Source organism: Homo sapiens, chromosome 8 (assembly GCF_000001405.40).
Source record: "Homo sapiens chromosome 8, GRCh38.p14 Primary Assembly".
NCBI classification, from domain to species: Eukaryota; Metazoa; Chordata; class Mammalia; order Primates; family Hominidae; genus Homo; species Homo sapiens.
The window spans coordinates 19,414,251-19,436,591 of NC_000008.11; the positions used below are offsets into that span (position 1 = coordinate 19,414,251).

The following is a 22,341-nucleotide window of genomic DNA, read 5'->3' on the forward strand; positions in this document are numbered from 1 at the left end:
GTGATTTAGAAACCTATCTCTGGCAGAGGGTGAACAAAAAACCGGAGTCTAGGGGAGGGAAGGAGGCTTAAGATAGAAGTGGTAGGAGGCTCCTGCAGTGACCTAAACAGGAACTGGCAAAGCTTGAACCAGGAATGTGAAACGTCTAAAGTTAATGTTTGTTTAAATTATAGTCATTCCTTTCTCAGCGAACTGTTTCTACACATGAAAGCACCAGCAAGTTTTATCTCATGGTTTAAACTAAAAAAATTTAAATGTTAGTATAAAATCCCATAGTTTCACTTAATATGAATTACTGCTGGTCTATACATACAAGGAAAAAACAGTAGTCAAAACACACACATACACACACACACACACACACACTATCATAAATGTGGTTTCTTGCTTTTGTCTGCAGGCAAAACACTATCAAATGACAGTGGCAACAGTCACAAGAAGGAATAACATACATTGACTAATGTGATCCTATTTCAAAGGCTGCTAGTAAAGATTGTCTTTTGTTTGCAAAACTAACTTTCATTAGAGCAGCATTCTGGATCTCTGTTCTCCCTTCACCTTTGATACTGATGTATTCCAAGAAGGCTATCAAGGATGTAGTAATTAATATATAGGTACCATCTCTTTCAAGACTGAGTCAGAACGTACCCTTAGTAGGAAGTCATTACTAACTGATCCATCTCCAACCATTACTTTTAATTTTACATCTTCTCCCCACCTAAATAATCCATCTCCATTCTATTACTTTCTATAGTTTCAAGTTCTCCTTTGGAATTTTTGTCAAGACTTTTCCTTCATACGTCAGTTCTCATCTAGATCCTAAGCAAATCTCTTGCCTCTGTACTGATAGAAGGAAATCTCTTGCCCTGAGCTCTGCCACTAGCTAGCTGTACAATCCTGAACAAGCCAGTTCACCTCTATAAAAAGAAGAAAGTGAGGAAACACTCTCACAAATTACTACCAAGTAATGAAAGCGTTTCATTTCTTCTGACTTCTCCTCTCGCACCTAGGCCAGTCCCCCGTAGGCAGCGAGCACTCAAGAACTGGTTTGTCCAGTAAAAAACATAAGCATACTCTTCTTTTGGGAAGGGGGAGTCCTTCATCTCAAGGAGAAGAATTGCTGTTTCACCAAACTAAATAGTCATAAATACTGAACTCTAAAATATCAGACTTCTGTGGTCTAGGAAAGGTCAAAATTGCATTTGGAAGTAAATGTCAGAGGCTGCAGGATAATTCACAGCCTGTGGCAACAATGGACACAGGGAATCTGAGTGGTTTCTGCTTTCACCACTAATTCTGAGGATGTGAGAAACTTGCCTAACTGCACTGTGCCTCTGATTCCCTTCGCAACTCCTACCCTGCAGGAATAATAATACAAAGAAAAATCTTTTGGATTGTAAAACGAAAACAATTCCTTGCAAGCAAATAAGGTCTTTATGAATTTGAAATGGAAATGTTAATCACATTCTATGTCAAATGCAAAACAACACATTACTTAAACCCAAAGGAACTTTAACTTTGATTGGCAGAAAGAAAATAAATCCTATATCCTGTTTCCCTTTCAATCCAATTAGAAGCTTAGAACTCTGGGAAAGGAAGCGAGAAGTTTCTCTGTCAATGAGGGTGATACGTGCTGCTTAACGACACAACTGTAAGCATAAGCAATTGTAACACAATGGTATTTGTGTATCTGAACATAGAAAAGGTACAGGAAAAATCTGATGTAAAAGATTTAAAAACATTTTCTTGTAAGTGTAACTCATGTGCTGCCTAACAACATTTCCGTCAACAACAGGCTGCATATGAGATGGTGATCACCCAGGAAGGCAAGGTTAACTTATTATTAAAGAAATGAAAACTTTTTTTTTTTTTTTTTTTTTCTGAGACAGAGTCTTGCTCTGTTGCCCAGGCTGGAGTGCAGTGGCACGATCTCGGCTCACTGCAACCTCTGCCTCCCGGGTTTAAGTGATTCTCCTGCCTCAGCCTGTGGAGTAGTTGGGATTACAGGCGCATACCACCATGCCCAGCTAATTTTTGAATTTTTAGTAGAGATGGGGTTTCATCATGTTAGCCAGGCTGGTCTCGAACTCCTGACCTCATGATTCACCTGCTTCGGCCTCCCAAAGTGCTGGGATTACAGGTGTGGGCCACCACACCCGGCCAAGGAAAACTTTTAAAAAATAAGTTTAGTGTCACCTAAGTCTACAGTGGTTATAAAGTCCACAGTAGTGGACAGTAATGTCACAGGCCTTCACATTCACTCACCATCCACTCATTTACTCACCCAGAGCAAATTCTAGTCCTGTATTACAAGCTCCACTCATGGGAACCATTTTTAAAATCTTTTATACCATATTTTTCCTGTGCCATTTCTATGTTTAGATACTGAATACCATCGTGCTTCAATTGCCTGTAGTATTCAGGACAGTCACATGCTGTACAGGTTTGTAACCTAGGAGCAACAGCCTGTACCATACAGCCTACGTGTGTAGTTGGCTATGTTATGTAGGATTGCATAAGTGCGCTGTATGATGTTTGCACAATGATGAAATTGCCTGACGATACATGACATCTCTCTATTGTTAAGTAACACATGACTATAGATGAAAACTCACTTTTTTTTTTTCTTTGAGACAGGGTCTCACTCCATCACCCAGGATGGAGTGCAGTGGTGCGATCTCAGCTCACTACAGCCTCTGCCTCCCAGGCTCAAGCGATTTTCAACCTGCCTAGTAGCTGGGACTGTAGGTGTGTGCCACTATGCACGCCTAATTTTTTATTTTTTAGTAGAGATGGGTTTTGACACATTGGCTAGGCTGGTCTCAAACTCCTGGCCTCAAGTGATCTGCCCATCTCGGCCTCCCAAAGTGCTGGCATTAAAGACATGAGCCACCAAACCCAGCTGAAAACTGATTCTTAAGACGTGAAAAACTCTTACTGTTTTTATGTATAAAGCACAGATACAGATACACTACAAAAACAGATACACAGTATATCTGTGGTATTGCAATTCCACTAGGGGAAAAGAGAACTGTATTATTAGTAAACCTGGTGCACCCCAAAATGAAGCCATGCTAGGATATAAGACATGACATTGTCCAACCTGAGGGCCCCAAAGTTGAAACTTTCTGGAAAATATCATAATATCAGTTGCCAGAGGTTAACTTGGGGAGAGAGGATGAAAGGCACAGGATGGGGCTGGAAACAACAGGTTTTGCTATTTCTAGAAGCTTACACACAAAGTCAATCCTCAAACGCATCCAGAACATGGGTTTTGGATGGAAATCAGTTTACTCTCCCATTGTACGGAAGCATCAGAGGCCTGGTGCTATCGTGTCTTCAGGTTCCCACAGCAGATGTCCTTCCTCCACCCTAAGGGGTCCTCAGTGGGAAGAAGCATGGATTTTCTTTAGCAAGAGGCAGAGCTACCCACAGCAAAGAAGAACAGACGTCCCTCAGATGGGAAGGCCACCATGAGATACAGCCTGGGCCAGAACACAGCTTCAGACAAACCTGGCTCATCTCCCCGCAGGAAAAAATCACAGCCCAACTTGAGGTGGGAGAAGGGCCTTTTCCCTCTCTGCCAATGCTGTCAACAATACCGGGAAATTCCATCCATGGGGGCCATGCCCAGAAGACACAGAGATCCTCTTCTGGCTTGCCTTTCCTCCTGCTGCTTGCATTGCTTCTCTGCAAAGTGGACTAACTGCCTGTGACAACAGAGACATCTCACCCTACAGGGACCCTTGGGGGCTGTGTGCATCCACTATCCATCACCTGTGCAGCCAGGATCTTAGCAGAGAAGTCCTTCCAATATTCCTTTGAGAGCCACCTTGCCAGTGACACCTTTAATGCTAACGTCTACCCAAACACTGTGATGTGTGGGAACAGTGGCATGATGGGAAGGGAACGGTGGCATGACGGGAAGGGCACTGGGAGCACACTGGGAGTTTCCACTTCAAATTCACAAAGACCTTATTTGCCTGCAAGGTCCAGGGAATTGCTCTGGCCCTCTCTGGGGTGAGCCACCCCATTCTGATTTCTGTCAAATGGGAACATAAATCTCACCTTTGTTACCTTGTAGGATTTTGCAAAAATCAAGAGAAACTGTACTGCATCCATAATGCAACAATACCAGTTTCCAAAAACCAGTGATGGAAACTATGAAGGTGTGAAATTACCTCTCTGTAAAGTACTGCTTCCATTTATTTTCCACTTTAAATATTGCAAGCACTTTTAATCAACGAGGCGCCGGGAGCAGAGGCCAGCACATCTGCCAAACGTAAAAACTACTAAGGGAATCATTGCACAGATTTCTACTCACCTTTGCTCATGGTCAGGTACCCCTGGTAATGACAGACACTAAACAGAGCCACACAGAGCCATCTGCAGGGTAATTACTCACCAGCTGCTGTTCCAAGGGAGGGACTGCATCATGGTGGCCGTATATTATGCCAGGATTGTACTGACTGAAAAGAACTGGATAAAATACCTTCTTCCCTACAAACCAGAAAACAAACATTCACTTAAAGTGACAGATCCAAGTAGTAGGTTTGTTCCTTGACATTTGGCCCTCTGAAACACCCCAGATATTTGCACCCACTTTTTTTTTCTTTGAGAGGCAGTCTCACTGTCACCCAGGCTGCAATAGAGTGGCACAATCTTGGCTCATTGCAATCTCTGCCTCCTGGGTTCAAGTGATTCTACTGCCTCAGCCTCTTGAGTAGCTGAGATTACAGGTGCCCGCCACCACACCCGGCCAATTTTTTTATTTTAGTAGAGATGGGGTTTCACCATGTTGGTCAGGCTGGTCTCAAACTCCTGATCTCAAATGATCCACCCGCCTCGGCCTCCCAAAGTGCTGGGATTACAGGCATGAGCCACTGCGCCCGGCCTGCAGCCACTTTTCCTTTTCCCTTGACTCAACTCTAAAATGGGTCTTAGAAGTGCAGCACCAAGTGGACCAGACAGTCATATCTGCAAATATTTCTGATCTCCCAGCGCAGGAATGATATTTGGAATACTGACAGACCATGACCAAGCACTGGGCATCACGCCTTGGGAGGGGGTGTGAAAGAGAGTCCTGGTGCCCCAGCCCCGCCAAACATTAACCCTTTACTTGCTGGCTCATGGGATCATCTTAAATGGTTGACTTTGGGTCAGGGTGACTTTGGGCAGTTGGACTAGACTTAGAGTGTCCAGGGTGGTTGCTCTTTATCAATTTACACAAAAGAATTTCTGTATTTTAGCAACTGGCATGGCTGTGCCAGTGTTCATCAGCTCAATAGCAGCCTTGCCTATGAGTGGAGTCTGTGAAAGTCATTTTAGTACTGTGGGTTCTTTGTGCGAATAGCTCTTCTACCCTAGGTAACTGCCCAAAGGTACTCCTTTCTCTTTAGGGTTGGCAGTTTTCCAGCTCCACCTCCTCCCCACCTCGCTTTCTCCTGGGAATGTTCATGAAAGCTGACCTCCCAGTTGCAGACGGAAGAGGGGTTATGGACATGAACTTGGGAAAAGAGTCCCAGAATTATGGTGGCTGACAGGCCCATGATGTGGCCTCAAAGGAGAAGTCAAACCAGATGGTGACGTGGTTTGGCTGTGTCCCCACCCAAATCTCATCTTGAATTGTAGCTCCCATAATCCCCAGATATCCTGGAAGGGACCTGGTGGGAGGTAACTGAATGATGGGGACAGGTTTTCCCATGCTGTACTCATGATAGTAAATAAGTCTCAAGAGATTTGATGGTTTTGTACATGGGAGTTCCCTTACACACACTGTCTCGCCTGCTGCCATGATAGACTTCCCTTTGCTCCTCCTTCACCTTCTTCCATGATTGTGAGGCCTCCCCAGCCATGCAGAACTATGAGTCCATTAAACCTCTTTCCTTTATAAATTACCCAGTCTCAGGTGTGTCTTTATTAGCCGCGTGAGAACAGACTAATACAGATGGTTTTCCTTTTCTTTGCTATTGAAGTAAAACAGGCTGATTCAGAAGCAGGACATCAGAGTGACTGACCCATCAAGAGGACGACACATGGGCCCGAGAGGGCTGGGGGCCACCTGAGCGTGACAGAGAGATGATCCATACCTGGCTGTGTATTCAGCCTACACGTATTGAGGAATTCAGATGTGAAGTAGATGTCCACATCACAGAAAAAGAGAAGGACGTTGCTTCCCTTCCAGAAGCGGGCTCCAACATCAAGTCCCTTTCCCCGAGAAAATTCTCCATTCAGCTGGATGAAGGTAAAGTTCCTGAAGTTGGCAGCTCTGAAAGGCAAGACCAGGTACTGTCACTCACATTCCCACATGTTGGCAGCATCCCCTGAGAAAATATGTAATCAGGGCCCATCCACATCTTGACCCATTTCTTTTGTAACCTGAGGGCACTGGGACTCCCCAAGAAGTTACAGAACGGCCCAGACTCACAGGATACTCACTGGGATCGAAGGTACCAAGAACACCTAGTGGAGTTTTAACACTAATTTCTTCCTTGTTTCTCTGGCAGTTTCCCCGTATTGAAAACACTCTTGTCATCATTAATGACTATTCTTTGTGATGGAGAAAACTTGAACCAGGTAAGACTAGAAACACAACCCTGGAAAATCTTCGTGCATCCTGAGCCAACCGAATGAGGCCACTGAGCCAAGGAAATAAGATCACATTGCAATGGCCCCACTTAGCATCTTTTCATCTGCATTCACATCCAGGAGCCAGGCAAAATGTTCTTGATGTGAATCTTTCCTCCAAACAGATTTAAACCCAGATTCCTTCCGCATCCTCGGGTAAAGCAGCACAGCATGGCAGGAAAAATGACCAACTTGCAGTTAGAAGAGGACTGTTTCAGGCCTGGCTCTCCTACAGATAGCTCTGTGATCTAGGCCAGCCCATGAATCTTCCTGAACCTCAGTTGCCTCATCTGCTAAATAGGTGTAGTAACACCTTCCTTCACTATCCCACAGGGTTATTAGTGAGATAAACAGTGCCAAGAGTATACAGCACTCTGTAAGCATCAGCTATTGCTGTGATTAGCATGGGCAAGGATTCCCAGGCCCCAGGCAGTGAAGCCAGGATGTTTCTCGCATTCGTTGTTCTTTCCCAGGGACAGCAGAACCTTCTGAAATGGGGCCTGTCTTAAGCTAACGTTCCACGAATTCATTCCATGCCCAGTGGGACAGGTATTGTCTTCTACCAGATAATACTAGAGAACCACCTTCAGTCTTCTTTCAGCCTAGCAAATCCCTTTTCCTGTCAACGACACCCTTCTTTTCCTAATGGCTTCCTTTCCTCTCACACTCCCCGTCCTACCAGCTACCTGGCCTATCCCCATGCCCCAACTTCTCTCTACTGTTTCTTTCCAAAAGGTACAGAAACTCATTTCCAGTTTGTAAAGTTTGCATTCCAAGTACCCGTCTCGGGTAAAGGCCAACGCAAACATAGAGTCATAAACTTTTAAAATGCTAAGTTGTATTTGTATCTGGAATTGAATCAGTAAAACTAGTTCTGCGACTCCCTCCTTGACTCATCTTCTTCTTTTGGATCTGGGAGTGAGCTTGGATTCTTATCTTAGGGATCAGTGAGCCCATGTCAGAGTTTGATGCCAAACATGCCTTTCAGATTTGGATCAGGTTAGGAGGCCTCATGATGGGTAGAGCACTGGTCTAGGAGTCTGGAAACCTGGATCCAGGACTAGAACTGTGCCTGGGGCCCCATAAGTGTTCAACAGATGTTTCTGAATGAGTGTATGAATGTATGAATCATTCTAAACCTAGCTGTGCCTCTGATGGATTTGAGGCAAGTCACTCTACCCCTTTTGTCTCTGTTTCCAGGTACAAAATCCAGTGGTTACAGAGCTCAAATTCCCCTTTACACACTAAGACGCTATTTTTCTTTGGTTAAAAAAACTTACTTTACATATGTACATTATATATACTTGTATATAATACACTTTTTCTTTTAGAGACAGGGTCTTGCTCTGTCACCCAGGCTGGAGTGCAGTGGCATGATCATAGCTCACTACAGCCTCAAACTCCTGGGCTCAAGCAATCCTCTTCTCTCAGCCAAGTCCCAAGTAGCTGGGACTACAAGTGCATGCTACCATGCCCAGCTAATTCTTAAAAATTTTTTATAGAGACAGAGTCTCACTTTGTTGCCCAACTCTTGGCTTCATGCGGTACTACTGCCTCGGCCTCCCAAAGTGCTAGGATTACAGGCATGAGATACCACACCTGGACAAGACTCTATTTTTCCTATGATCCTGCATTCACTTCAGCACCACTCTACATTTGCAGGGATTCTCTTCCTCTTTCAGAACTTTATCTTGAGTCTTTTCTCTGGGGGGGTGCCCCCATTGCACATTTTCTGTGTGTTGCATTGAAGTTATGCTCAAAACCTTTTCAGTATTAGGTATGGCACCAGTCAAGGACACGCTATCCTCCCGTCTCCAAAGACATTCAGATGGTGTGAGGTCACTGCGAGCACCTTCATGTCTCTTAGAGGTGTCTGCAGCCCCAGCTCCTGTAAGTCAGGTCAACCCATTTTTCCCTTCCCGGTTTGGTCAGTTTCCAGGAAAGGTTTACCCATGGGAGATGCCTGGATTTTTACCTGTTCATCTAAAGGCACCTGATCCTGGAGTCCATCTTGCTTTAACTTTCTATGTATTTAATATATACAGCCAGTAGCAATTCTCTTTCTTCGCTGTTTCCAGGTTCCTATCTTTTGGGACCTCTTCCTCCCCATTATACAGGGATATCTTCTAACTTTCAGAGCACAAACACAATGTATGAGCAAGTCCTTCCTCACTCAGGTTGCACCTGACTCATAATTCAGGTACCTTCTCCAGGAGGGTTTCTAGGATCTACTACAGGAGAGTTCAACTACAAAAATACCTGAACAACAGCAAGTGACTTTTGCCAAGGGAAGAAGAACATAGGCTCTTAATAGGCTGCATTAAATGAGCTGCGACATCAAGAATCTCCCCCTTGAACAGCCTACAGTCCATTTGTATAGATAGGCCAAATATTTACAAAAGTTAAATCATGTTGAGTAATTAAATAAGAATACAAGACAGTGTTAGAAACTGAGGAAACAGCATGAAAGAAATGACGAGTCTACAAGTGATTGATTAACTGCTGAGTGAACGGTAGAGACAGTGCTACAAATTTAGAGGGAAGAGTGGTAATTTGGTGGTGTGCATGCTTACCTAATGCACAAGTTAATCTAGTTTATTCTGTGCATGAATCCCCTAACCCTGGCTTGAGCTGTTGCTAATAAATGCTGTTCTCTCCTCTGCTGCAACAGAGGATTGGGTACAGGATGGGCTTCCTGTCATAGTCATGGGAAAAGGGGTGGGAAGAACTTAAGGTACCTAGTGTCTGACATGACCTTAATTTGGAAGAACTTTTTTTTTAAGCCTTAAAATGTAAATCCCTATGCTTCCATGATGTGTTGCTTCTAGAGAAAGAAAATTCAGGCAAATGGATGCTGGGGAACACTTTATATGGCCTAATGCAAAAGGCAATTTGCTTCCTTTCTCTTCATGCAACCTTTCTACAAGGAAAAGACAATGCATGTTATATCCATGGCACTACCCAATCTGAATATGCATTTTGAATTCACTTCATGTGTCCACAGGCTGCACAGAAAGCCCTGGGAAGTGGTACCCAGCTCTGTCCACGCACTGTTTCCATGTGGACCATATGGGGGCCGGCGCACACACACACAGCACCAGACACCTCGGCTTGCCTGTTCTCCCTGCCCCACGCAGGACTCTGCCCTGATCTAGCTTTGCCTGGGACTTTCATCCACCCTGATCAACACTGGCCAGAAGGCAACATTGCTGGCTTGGCAGTATGGGTCCATGTTAGAGCTGCTCTGAAGCCCTGACCACTCACCAGGTCCTGATGAGAGAGCTGAACATGAGTGTGCACAGAAGGCAGGGTGGGGACAGAGTCACTGCTGGCTTGGGAAGCACCATCAGGCAGTCACAGACACTGGAGAAGGCCCAGAGTGCTAACTCTGTCATCCATCTGTGTTTCCCAGGGTGGCTGCCAGGTCATTATGCTCAGCTAGGGGTCCGTCTGAGGATGAATAATGGTACAATTTTCCTTCCTGATTCCTCAACCCAAGGCTTTTTTCCAATAAACCAGTGATCTGAAAGAACCCCTCCAACTCCTCTCTTGCCATCAGGAAGAGCCTCTGATAATTACCAAGACCCTCTGCCAAAAAAGAGGACTGAACTGGAAAAACCATGAAAAAAAATCAAGACAACTTCCTGTCTTTGCCAAACCTCCTGGGCCTAGAAGTGGGGCAGCCTCCTCATCTGAAACTTACCAGTACTGGCCATGTGGGCTCTAGAACAGGATATGACAAGATGAGGAGGAATTGGCTTCTTCAAGTAGTCAGGCCACTTATCAATGCCCCATATCCTCATTTTGAAGCAGTGCTCATTGGGCAGGGACTCCATCACTAGACTAGAGTGCCCCCTGCTCAACAGTGGATTGAAAGGCAGCAGAACCATTCAAACACAATGACACACTTCAACTCAAATCACTGATGTGCCCAACGTAGTGTGATGGTGTGGTTTGGGAAGGTCCGCACCATGGCCATGAGGCTGCAGCCCCCAAATGCAGACTGTAGTGGTTGCCAGGCAGGCATGCTGCTTTATTCTCTGTCCTGCTTCCCCCCTTCCAAGTAACCAGCCAGGAGCAGATGATTCCGATTGTGAAAGAAAAATAGAATCTCAGGACCCCAAACTCACCATGCCAAAAGGAGAATTAAGCTTGAGAACTGAGTCACCAAGACTGTTCTCCTGACCAGGTGCAGTGGCTCATGCTTGTAATTCTAGCACTTTGGGAGGCCGAGACAGGCAGATCACTTGAGGTCAGGAGTTCGAGACTGAACTGACCAACATGGTGAAACCCCATTTCTATTAAAAATACAGAATTAGCCAGGCGTGGTGGTGGCGCCTGTAGTCCTCACTACTTGGGAGGCTGAGGCAGGAGAATCGCTTGAATCTGGGAAATGGAGGTTGCTGTGAGCCGAGATCGTGCCATTGTGCTCTAACTTGGGCAACAGAGCTACATTCCATCTCAAAAACACAAACAAACCAAAAAACCATTTTCCTGCTGTTCACTGACAGTAGCTGTAACTTCACAACCCCGTGTCACAGTCTCATTTTCGTGACTCCCTCCTTTTATGTGTGTTCATTTTTTCAGATGTAAAATGTAGATTTACTGAGCATGAGGCAATGCAGAATCGATTTTTTCCTCTGTTCCCTCTTTTTGCATGTAAAACAGAGAATTACTGAGGCTAATCAGAGCCTCACAAGAGTGGAAGCATCTACCTCACTGCCTGCTCTCCATCCCTTTGTTCGTCCTCCTCCTAGCTCTTTCCCCTTTGGAAAAAGCAGAGGTTGCAGATGCTCCTGTGGTTTGTGATTTTCCTAGGTGCATCCTCAACCTCGGCTAAATAAAACTCGGATAGACTGAGCCTTCCCTCAGTCTCTTTTTGGTTTACATAACAGACGACTCACCAAGGTGTGGGCATGGCTGGGGCATCCTATCTTCTCACTGTTCTCTTCCCTCAAATACGCGCTCTGCATCTACTCCTGCGAACATCACTCGGTCTTTAAGGCCCATGTCAAGAATCACCGCCCCTCCTGTGCCTCGCCGCAAACTTACAGTGCGCACTCTGAGCTCCCAACATTTGACCCAGCCCTGCCTCTGTCCCTCTGTGTCCTGGTGCCTTCAAGTGCCTTTGCTTGCACAGATCTGTATGAGGGGCTCTAGCAGACTCCACAGGCTTCAAGGACAGCAATTGCCTTACTTTTTTTCTACCTTCAGAGATTATCCAGCACTGTGCAGTAAACGGCACACACGGGGTGACCAATATCCACTGGACGAATCAAGAGCTGAACAAATGGAAAACACAGGCACATTTCAGATCTGTCCTGAGGAGGGTGCTGCATGGAGATGCCTCCCTGCCAAAGAAAGCTCAGCCCACTCAGATGGGCACCAGAGAAACCCCTCCCTTGTGTATATACACCCACCTCCAACATCAGAAAGAGGCTGTGACCAATGGATTCTGAAGGACAGGCACAAACCCAAGCTTTTAAGAAGATGAAAAATATGTAAATAACAGAAAAGAGATGAGAAAAATACACTGCAATATGGTTCAAAGTTGAAGTTACTCATACAAAGAAATACAATGTTTAGTGTTACCCTAAAGCAATGGCAAAGAAATGTGCATTTATTACGGTAGGATGGGGGCACTACATTTTATATTACATAACTTCCTGTTATGAAACTGAACGTGCAGTTCCACTAACATCACATGATTTGCTTATAATTATTTCTTTTTCTTTTCTTGAATTGTATTATCAACTGACAAAACTCTTCCATTTCCCAGTCAATTCCTGTTTTTATATAATAAATCTGGTGCACGGAGACTCCTCTAAGTTACACAGAGTCATTTTTATAGAGGTTATAATGACCTGACAAAGCTACTGTTTCTACAGGAGATTTAATTTCCCTAATTGACTTGCATTTCCCAGAATTACTGGATTAAAAACGATAGATCTTCCTGTCTAATATGATTTACTCTAATATAGACTTTTCCCCACAACTGCAAGGATAGTCTCTTCATGTAACGCTTCTCACAATAGCCTTTCATTGTAAAAAATCTTTAAAAATTTACATAGAAAACTAGTATTATATCCAATGTATGATTTTAAATCTCACAGCTCTAAATACTGAAATCACTTATGAGCTCTACTTCTTGAAGATATTGGAATACAGTGAAGAATTTAAAGCTGAACATGTTATCATCCAATTTTTCATAGTAGGCACTTTAAATAATTAATTTAGAATTGCCTAGATTCTGAGCTTCTTTAAGCCTGTTTTAGCAAGTTTCTTTAGGAACTTCATTTTTGCCTTTCCATCGGTTCTAAAAGTTCATGTGAGCATGAGGCACAGTTCATTAAGAAGAGCAAATGAACATCTCTGAATCTCAGAATGGTCACAATGCAGGCATCAGCTGATTAGAATTCACCATCTTCCAGGCTACATCCTCAGATTGTCTTTTCTTGCCCACCGAATGCATACAATTTTGTTTTGTTTGCTTGTGTTTTGAATCGAGAAATCAAAGCCAGCTTCAGCGGGCACCAAACAAATTTGCCGATGCACAGGAAAATGGTGAGATTCAAACATCTGGCATGAGGCCTCCAGCATGGAGTTTCCTTAGAAAATTAGGGGGTGGCAGCCGGGTGTGGTGGCTCATGCTTGTAATCCCAGCACTTTGGGAGGCCGAGGCGGGCGGATCACGAGGTCAGGAGATCGAGACCATCCTGGCTAACACGGTGAAACCCTGTCTCTACTAAAAATCCAAAAAATTAGCCAGGCATGGTGGCGGGCACCTGTAGTCCCAGCTACTTGGGAGGCTGAGGCAAAAGAATGGTGTGAACCCAGTGGGCGAAGCTTGCCGTTAGCCGAGATCGCGCCACTGCACTCCAGCCTGGGCAACACAGCAAGACTCCACTTCAAAAAAAAAAAGAAAGAAAATTAGAGGGTGGCAATCTTAACACCATGCCAAGCCCTCATGCACCTTTGCCACAGGGAAGTGTGAGTAACTGTGCACAAGGCAAGTGAGGAAGGGAAGCCTTCTTCCTAATCAGTGTATCTCCCTGTGCCCCAGGTGAGGGAAGCAGTCTCATCGTAGGTGTAGGATAAGACACATAAAGAACCTGGGCAGAGGCTCAAGGTTGCTACCTTAGGAGGACACAATCCTTCCTCCTTCTCCTCTGGATCCCCTGCAGGTGGCCTCCATCCTCAGACTTAGCTCATTGCATGTGCCATTTCTCCTTGCTCTGTAAAGTCTGGATGGATAATTCCCAGCTCCTGTCTTGCCCTGCACCCTGAGGCATGCATCCCTCCGTTTCCCACACAATACCCGAATGTACACCAGCATCGGAGTCTGTATCAGTCTGTTTTCACACTGCTAATAAAGACATATCGAAGACTGGGTAATTTCTAAAGGAAAGAAGTTTAATTGCCTCACAGTTCCATGTGGCTGGGGAGGCCTCACATTCATGGCGGAAGGCAGAAGAGGAGCAAAGTCACATCTTACGTGGCGGCAGGTGAGGGAGAATGAGAACCAAGCAAAAGAGATCTCCCCTTGTAAAACCATCAGATCTCGTGAGACTTATTCACCACCATGAGAACTGTGTGGGGGAAAATGCCCCCATGATTAAATGCTCTCTCGCCAGGTCCCTCCCACAACACGTGGGAATTACGGGAGCTACAGTTCAAGATGAGACTTCGGTGGGAACACAGCCAAACCATATCAGAGACTTTCCTCAAAAAGCCTGGGTAAGCTGCCCTACATAAGGACTGGCGAATAGTGGATACTGTGCTTTTACATCATTAAGTACGATGCTTCTTTTATGTCTTAAATAAACTACTATACAGCAGCACGTTCAATTTGGTTCCACAGAGGGAAAGTATGCCTGGCTCTGCAGAGGACACAAGGTGTTTAAGACATTGATTAGGACAAAACACCCTTCTCACATAAGACATGATATGTGTGTGTGTGTGTGTGTGTGTGTGTGTGTGTGTGTGTGTGTGTGTGTGTATGCATGCTGTGTATTTATATGTATACTTTTTATTGAGTTAAAATTCACACAACATAAAATTTTAAAGTGTATAAATCAGTGTCATTTAGTACATTCGCGATGCTGTAAACCGTCACCTCTTTCTAGTTACAAAATGTTTTCATCACCCCAAAAGGAAATCCTATACCCAAGAAACAGTCAGTTCTAATCCCCTCATATCCCCAGCCCCTGGCAACTCTTAATCTACTTTCTGTCTTCATGGATTTATGTATAAAGAATATTTCCTATAAATGGGATTATACATTATCAACCTTTTTTGTTGTTGTTGTTTTTCTTTTGAGACAGAGTCCTACTCTGTCACCCAGGCTGGAGTACAGTGGTGCAATCTTGGTTCACCACAACCTCCACCTCCTGGTTTCAAGTGATTCTCCTGCCTCAGCCTCCCCAGTACCTGGGATTACAGGTGTGAGCCACCACACCTGGCTAATTTTTATATTTTTAGTAGATATGGGGTTTCACCATGTTGGCCAGGCTGGTCTCAAACGCCTGACCTCAGGTGATCTGCCTGCCTCAGCCTCCCAAAAGGCTGGGATAACAGGCGTGAGCCACTGGCACCTGGCCATTATTGACCTTTTACATCTGGCTACTTTCATTTATCACAATGTTTTTGAGGTTCATCCCATTGCAGCATACATTAGTACTTCATTCTCTTTATGTCTGAATAATATTCCATTGTGTGCTTATGTTATATTTTGCTTTTCATTCATCAGCTGATAGATATTTGAGTTGTTTCTACCTTTTGGATATTGTGAATAATGCAGCTATGAACATTCATGTACAGTTATTTGTTTCAATACTTACTTTCTGTTCTTTTGGGTATATACCTGGGATCAGAACTGCTGAGTCAGATAATAATACTACGTTTAACCATGTAAGGAACTGCCACACTGTTTTCCACAGTGGCTGCACCATTTTTCATTCCCAAGAGCAATAGACAAGAGTTCCAATTTCTCTGCCTCCTCAGAGACACTTGTAATTGACTTGTGGATTACAGCCATCCCGGTGAGTGTAGTTTGCATTGTAGGTTTCATTTGCATTTTTCTAGTGACTAATGATGTTGACCATCTTGTCCTGCTGTGCTTATTGGCCACTTGTGTATCATCTTTGGAGAAATGTACATCCAAGTCTTTTGTTCATTTTTAAATTGGGTTGTCTTTTTACTGTTAAATTCTCTCTCTAGTTATTGAATATAGACCCTTATCAGATTATGATTTGCAAATATTTTATCCCATTATATAAGCTGTCTTTTCACTTTTATGGTAGCACAAAAGTTTTTAATTTTGATAAAGTTCAACTTATCTGCTTATTCTCTAGTTGCTAGGGTTTAAAAGTCACACCTAAGAAATCACTGCCTAATCCAAGGTCATGAAGACTTACACCTATGTTTTCTCTTAAAACTTTGATAATTATAGCTCTTACATTTAAGTCGTTGATCCATTTTGACTTCAAGTTTTGTATATATAGTGGATGTATACCTATCAACTACAGAAAACAACTTTCGTTCTCTGCACATGAATATCCAGTCATCCCAGAACCGTTCTTAAAAAGATGATTCTTTCCCCCATATGATGATCTGGTACCCTTGTTAAAAATCAAATGACCATAAATGTATAGGTTTATTTCCGAACTCTGCTTTCCATCCATTGATCTATATTTTTATAGCAGTAGCAAAGTCTTAACTACTGTAATTTTATAATAAGTTTTGAAATTGAGAGTATGAGTCCTCCAATTTTGTTCTGTTAAGATTGTTCTGGCTATTTTGGGCCCTTGCATTTCCACGTGAGTTTTAGAATCAGCTTGTCCATATCTACAAGAAAGTCATCTTGGATTTTAATAGGGATTGTACTGAAACTATAGATCGACTGACTGAGTACTGTCATTTGAAGAATATTAATGAACATGGGATGTCTTTCCATTTATTTAGGCCTTCTTTAATTCCTTTCAAAGTTGTGTTGTAGTTTTCAGCATAAAATTCTTGCACTTTTTTATTACATTCATTTCTATGTTTCTAAACCTTTTTTATATTACTATGAAAATTGTTTTCTTAATTTCATTTTCAGATTGTTTATTGCTCGTGTATAGAAATACAATTAACCTTTGTATATTGATCTTGTACCTCACAACTTTACTGAATTTGTTCTTAGCTCTAATAGTTTTGTGGATTCCTTGTAATTTTCTATATAGAAGATTATATCATCTGTGAATAGCATTTACTTTTTCCTTTCCAATCTGGATGACTGTTATTTCTTTTTCTTATCCAACTGTCCTGGCTAGAACACCCAGTACAATATTGAATAGTGAAAGCAGACACCTTTGTCTTGTTCTTGATCTTATGGGGAGAACATTCAGTATTTCACCATTAAGTATGATGTTTTTCATAGATGGTTTTTTGTATGTGTCCTTTATTAGGTTAAAGAAGTTCTCTTCTAGTCCTAGTTTGAGGATTTTTATCATAAAAGGATGTTGGATTTTTAACAAATGCTTTTCCTATGCATATTGAGATGGTCATGTGATTTTTGTCCTTGAGTCTATTAATATGGCATATTTCATTGATTTTCGTATATTGAGCCAAACTTGCATTCCTGAAAAAAAAATCACACTTGGTAATTGCATATAATTCTTTTTTTTTATGTTGTTGGATTCAGTTTGCTAGTGTTTTGTTGAGGGTTTTGCATTTATATTCATAGGGATACTGATCTATAGTTTTCTTTCCTTGTTCTGTCTTTGTCTGGTTAGGTTATCAGGGTAATGCTGGCTTCAAAGAGTAAGTTGGAAAGTGTTCTCTCCTCTTCCAATTTTTTTGGAAGAGTTTTTGACACACTAGTGTTAATTCTTTAAACACTTGGTAGAAATCAGCAGCGAAGCCTGGGCTTTCCTCTGTGGAAAGTTCTTTTTTCTTTTTTTTTTTAATTAAATCAATCCATTTGCTTGTTATAAGTCTAGTTAGATTTTGTATTCCTCTGTTCCCTCTCCATTCCTGTGCTGTTATTGTATTAATATTACATCTTTGTGCACTGTGTGCCCATCAACACAGATTTATAATTTTTTTCTATGAAGCTGTCTTTTAAATCAGCACAAAAAAAAGAGTCACAAACAAAAATACATTTATACTATCGTTTATATTTGCCTATGTAGTTACTTCACTGGCAATCTTTACGTCTTCATGTGGATTTGTCTAGTGTCCTTTCATGTCCGCCCCAAGGACTCCTCTTAGTATTTCATACAGGGCATGTTTATTAGTGATGAAGTCTCTTTATTTGTTTATCTGGGAATGTCCTAATTTTGCCTTCATTTGTAAGGAATGGTTTTGCTGATAACAGAATTATTAGTTGAAATCTTTTTCTCACTTTGAAAATGTTATCCCACTTTCTGGCCTCCATTGTTTCTGATGAGAATTCAGCTATTAATCTTATCAAGGATCCATTGTACTGGATGAGTTGCTTCTCTTTCTCTGTCTTTGGATTTCAAAAATGTGATTATAAGTTTAATGTGGATTTCTATGAATTTATTCTATTTGGAGTTAAGATTATTAGATATGTAGATTAATGTTTTCCATCAAATTTGAGAAATTTTTAGCCATTATTTCTTCAAATATTTTTAGGTGCCCTTCTCTATCCCCTTCTTGACTCCCATTATTCATATGTTTGTATGCTTGATGGTATCCCATGAATCTCAGGTTTGTTCATTTTCTTCATTCTTTTTTCTGTTTTTTTCTGAGACTGAGTCATTGCAGTTGGCTTATCTTGAAGTTTGCCAATTATTTCTTCTGCTTCTTCAAACCTGCTGTTAAGCCTCCTCTGCCTTATTAATTTTTCGTTTTTGTTATTGTAGTTTTCAACACTACAATTTCTATTTGGTTCTTTTAAATAGTTTCTACTTCCTTGTTGATATTCTGTATTTAGTATAGCATGTTTTTCATATACTTCAGTTCTTTAAATGTGTTTTTACTTTTGTGAATATACTTAATACAACTGATTAAAAATTTTTGTCTATTAAGTCAAACATCTAAGCTTCTTTAAGGACAAGTTCTAATGACCGATTTTTTTTTTCTCGTGCATGAGCCTTAGTTTCTTCACATGCCTCATAATTTTTGCTAAAAATTGAACATTTAAAAAAATGTATTATGGTAAGCCTAGAAAGTAGAATCTCCTCCTTCTCCCAGGTTTTTTGTTGTTTGTTTAGTGACTTTTCTGAACTAATTCTATAAAGTCTCAATTCTTTATTGTGCGACCACTTAATGGTCAGCTAATGAGTGGACAACATTTTCCTTAAATGACTGGAACCAGTAAGTCTCTCTGATTTCGCTGAGGGATTCTGTTTGCATATTGGGATACACCTTCAGCACTCAGCCAGGCAATCAATGCCTTATTTATCCTTTACTTCTTGCTTCCACAGAGCCTGAAGGTCAGCCACAAGTGGGAGCTTAGGACATACATGGGTTTTAAGTAGGAGCATAGCCCTAGAGAGGTACATGGTCCTTAGGTTTTCAGGAATGTGCTGGAGCTTTTCAAAGGCCCTATGAATATCTAATCTCCCAGTATTTCCTTTTAAGCTTTTTGATTAGTCTATTGTTTGCCCCAACTCTTAACCACTGCCTCGGGCAGCCACAAAGTTAAACACTTCCTATAATTGTTTTAGACAAATGCTCTCCCTGAAGAAAATACTTTCTGCATTGGAAGAGCTCTGAGTCAGGTCAAATAAAGACAACCTTGTGAGTGGTGTCTTCCGAGGAACCTCCGGACAGTTCAAATAGTGACAACTCTCTGGTTGTGATGTTTTAAAGCAAGCTTGTCCAATGCATGTGGCCCAGGACAGCTTTGAATGCAACCCAACACAACATCATAAACTTTCTTTAAACATTACGAGATTTTATTTTTAGCTCTTCAGGTATCATTAGTATTAGTATATTTTATGTGTGGCCCAACACAATTCTTCTTATTTCAGTGTGGCCCAGAGAAGCCAAAAGATTGGACACACCTGCTTTAAATATCTCCAACCCCATTTTGTTTCACCACTGGCTGCCAGGCTGTGGTGATCACTGTGCTTGTGGGCTGTTGAATTTCCAGCTTACCAGAGAGCTGGAGTCAGGGATGGGAATAGAGCAAGTTAAACCTCCATAAAGCTCCCTTTCACACCAAAATTCATCCATGTTTCTTGGATAAATGCTCTCCAGATTGTTGCAAACTTTGGTTAATTTTTAGAGTTCTGAGAAAAGTGATTCTATTTTTTTCCAATTTTCTTACTGCTTTTGTAGAGAGGAGTGTTTGCAGAGGCCTTTACTCCATTTTCACTGCTCTGACTCTTCTTCTTTTAAACAGTGCATTCTATTCCACTGCATGCACTAATATCATTTAATTGTTTTTCATAATATATTTTCCCCACATTTTTATTTGGAGAAATTCTAAACCTTCAGAAAAGCTATAAGAATAGTATAATAAGTGCCCACATACCCTTGGCTAGATTCACTAAGTGTTAACATTTTACCACATTTGCTTTTTTTCTCTCTCTGAAGGATTTGAGAGTTAGTTTCAGACATCATGACAACTTCACCCTTGAAGACATGCATCTCCCAAGAAGCAAGATACTCTCCTGGTTCATTAGAAAAATATAATAATCATACTCAGGAAATTAACATTTTTACATCATAATTTATATAGCATATTCAAATCCCCAGTAAACAATTCAGAATGCAGGCACATCTCCACAAAGAGTTGGCACACAAAGCAGAATCACGCTTAGCAAAGCCTCTGGCAAATGCCAGGTGAGATGGTCAGAGGCCTGAGATACTGCCTTCATCTGCAAGGTGCTACTCCCTGTCCCTGTTTCCCAGGGTCCGAGACTAATTATCTGCTTGGGAGGGATCTACTGTGCAGCTTATTTCATTTTAGCAAATGAGATGGTTATCTAAAAATCCTTGTTTAAGAAAAAAAAAAAAGCAAATCAACAATGCTGCTCAAATTTCTGAAAATGGACAAACAAAAAGCCTGGAACAAACCATTTCCCCCAGAAAATAATCTTCCTGGGGGTATCTGTCAAATCATTTGAAAGAGGTGTGAAATGCTGACACAAACATTGCAAGGTGGGTCCCTGATAACGACAACAACCCTCTCCTAGCATCACATACACTCTGGCAGGGCAGTGTCTCATTTCTAGCATCTCAATCTCAGAGATGATTCCTCTGAAGGATGCTTTCATGTCCTTGCTCCTGGGCAAAGATGAACTTGTAATGTAGTAAATGTCAACTTACAATGTGGTCAATGCCAATTCATCTATCAGTTACATTAAAATAACTTTTTGGCCAGGCGCGGTTGCTCACGCCTGTAATCCCAGGACTTTGGGAGGCCGAGGTGGGCGGATCACAAGGTCAAGAGATCGAGACCATCCTGGCCAACTTGGTGAAACCCCATCTCTTCTAAAAATACAAGAATTCGCTGGGTGTGGTGGCGTGCGCCTATAGTCCTAGCTACCTGGGAGGCTGAGGCAGGAGAATTGCTTGAACCCAAGAGGTGGAGGTTGCAGGGAGCCGAGACTGTGCCACTGCACTCCAGCCTGGTAAAAAAGTGAGACTCTGAATCAAAAAAAAAAAAAAAATTCCTATTACATAGCTCCAAGCGAGTATCTAAAGCAGCATTTCTCACAGTATGGTCCATGAACCACCCACATCAGCAACACATGTGGAACTAGTTCAGTGATGGTTCCCAGGCTTCATCTCAGGCCCACTGATTCAGGATTTCTGGGCCTGGGTCCCAGGAGTCTGCATTTTTAAAAGCACCACAGGTTATTCCAAAGCATGTTAATAATGAAGAACCAGTGAGCTCATCTGAGATTAACTGAAGCTTGGAAAAATCTACAGAATAAGAATCAGATATTGAGAATCGATTTGTATTTCTGTCTATGTTAGTAGCTTTTAAACATTTTGACCATGATCCTTATAAAGGAATATATTACGCATCCTTATGCAGCACACACACACACACGCACACACATTGAAATTAAACTTTCATGAAAGAATATTTATCCTTACTACTTGTGCTTCACTCTGATATTTTCTATCCTATCCTACTTCACTTTTTAAAAATTGGACATAAGCCACAAAATCGATTTCACAACCCTCTAATAAATCACAAACTGGTGTTTGCAGAACACTGATCTATAGCAATCAACTGAAATGTAAAGCTCAACTGACTAAGAATAAACTAGGGAGAGAGAGTGTGAAATATTGCATACTGGTCACTAAACAAGATTTTTAAAAAGATATTAAAGTACATGCATTTAGCTGGATTTAAAACAGCTTAATCACAATACTGATTTCCAAATAACATAAATTTCATTTAGTGTGACTATAAATCTTACTACTTTCAACTAACAACTATGGGTTTTAGGAGCGAGCATATTAGAGTGAACAGGTGGTGGTATGCTAACACTGTGAGTCTAGACCTTAACAGGAGGCTCTGATTCTGGCTCTCCCATCTGGCAGGGATCACAGCCTGAGTAACGACCTCATTAAGCCTCAGTGTCTTTACATGTGAAGTAGAGCCCAAAACAGTGTCTATCTCATCAGGTAATGAATATTAAATACTATAATTTATGCAAGTTACATTATTCAGAAATAAGATACCTCTGAACAAAAGCTTTATCACCTTAAAAATAATTTAAAAATGTTTAAATAAAGTTT

The 22,341-nt window shown here is 41.9% G+C and overlaps 1 protein-coding gene across 61 annotated transcripts in view; it reads right to left on the reverse strand.

The window, feature by feature from the left end:
• CSGALNACT1 (chondroitin sulfate N-acetylgalactosaminyltransferase 1) overlaps positions 1 to 22,341 on the reverse strand; it is a 353,748-nt gene that overhangs the window by 10,090 nt on the left and 321,317 nt on the right. For all 61 annotated transcript variants that reach the window (NR_148898.2, NR_148897.2, NR_148900.2 and 58 more), the window contains 2 exons: positions 6,090 to 6,268; positions 4,406 to 4,500 (listed from right to left, as the gene is read on the reverse strand). Coding sequence is in view for 53 of the 61 variants with exons in the window: in NM_001354476.2 (NP_001341405.1) it covers positions 4,406 to 4,500; positions 6,090 to 6,268 (274 nt within the window). In the remaining 8 variants the exon portion in view is untranslated. The remainder of the gene's footprint in view (positions 1 to 4,405; positions 4,501 to 6,089; positions 6,269 to 22,341) is intronic.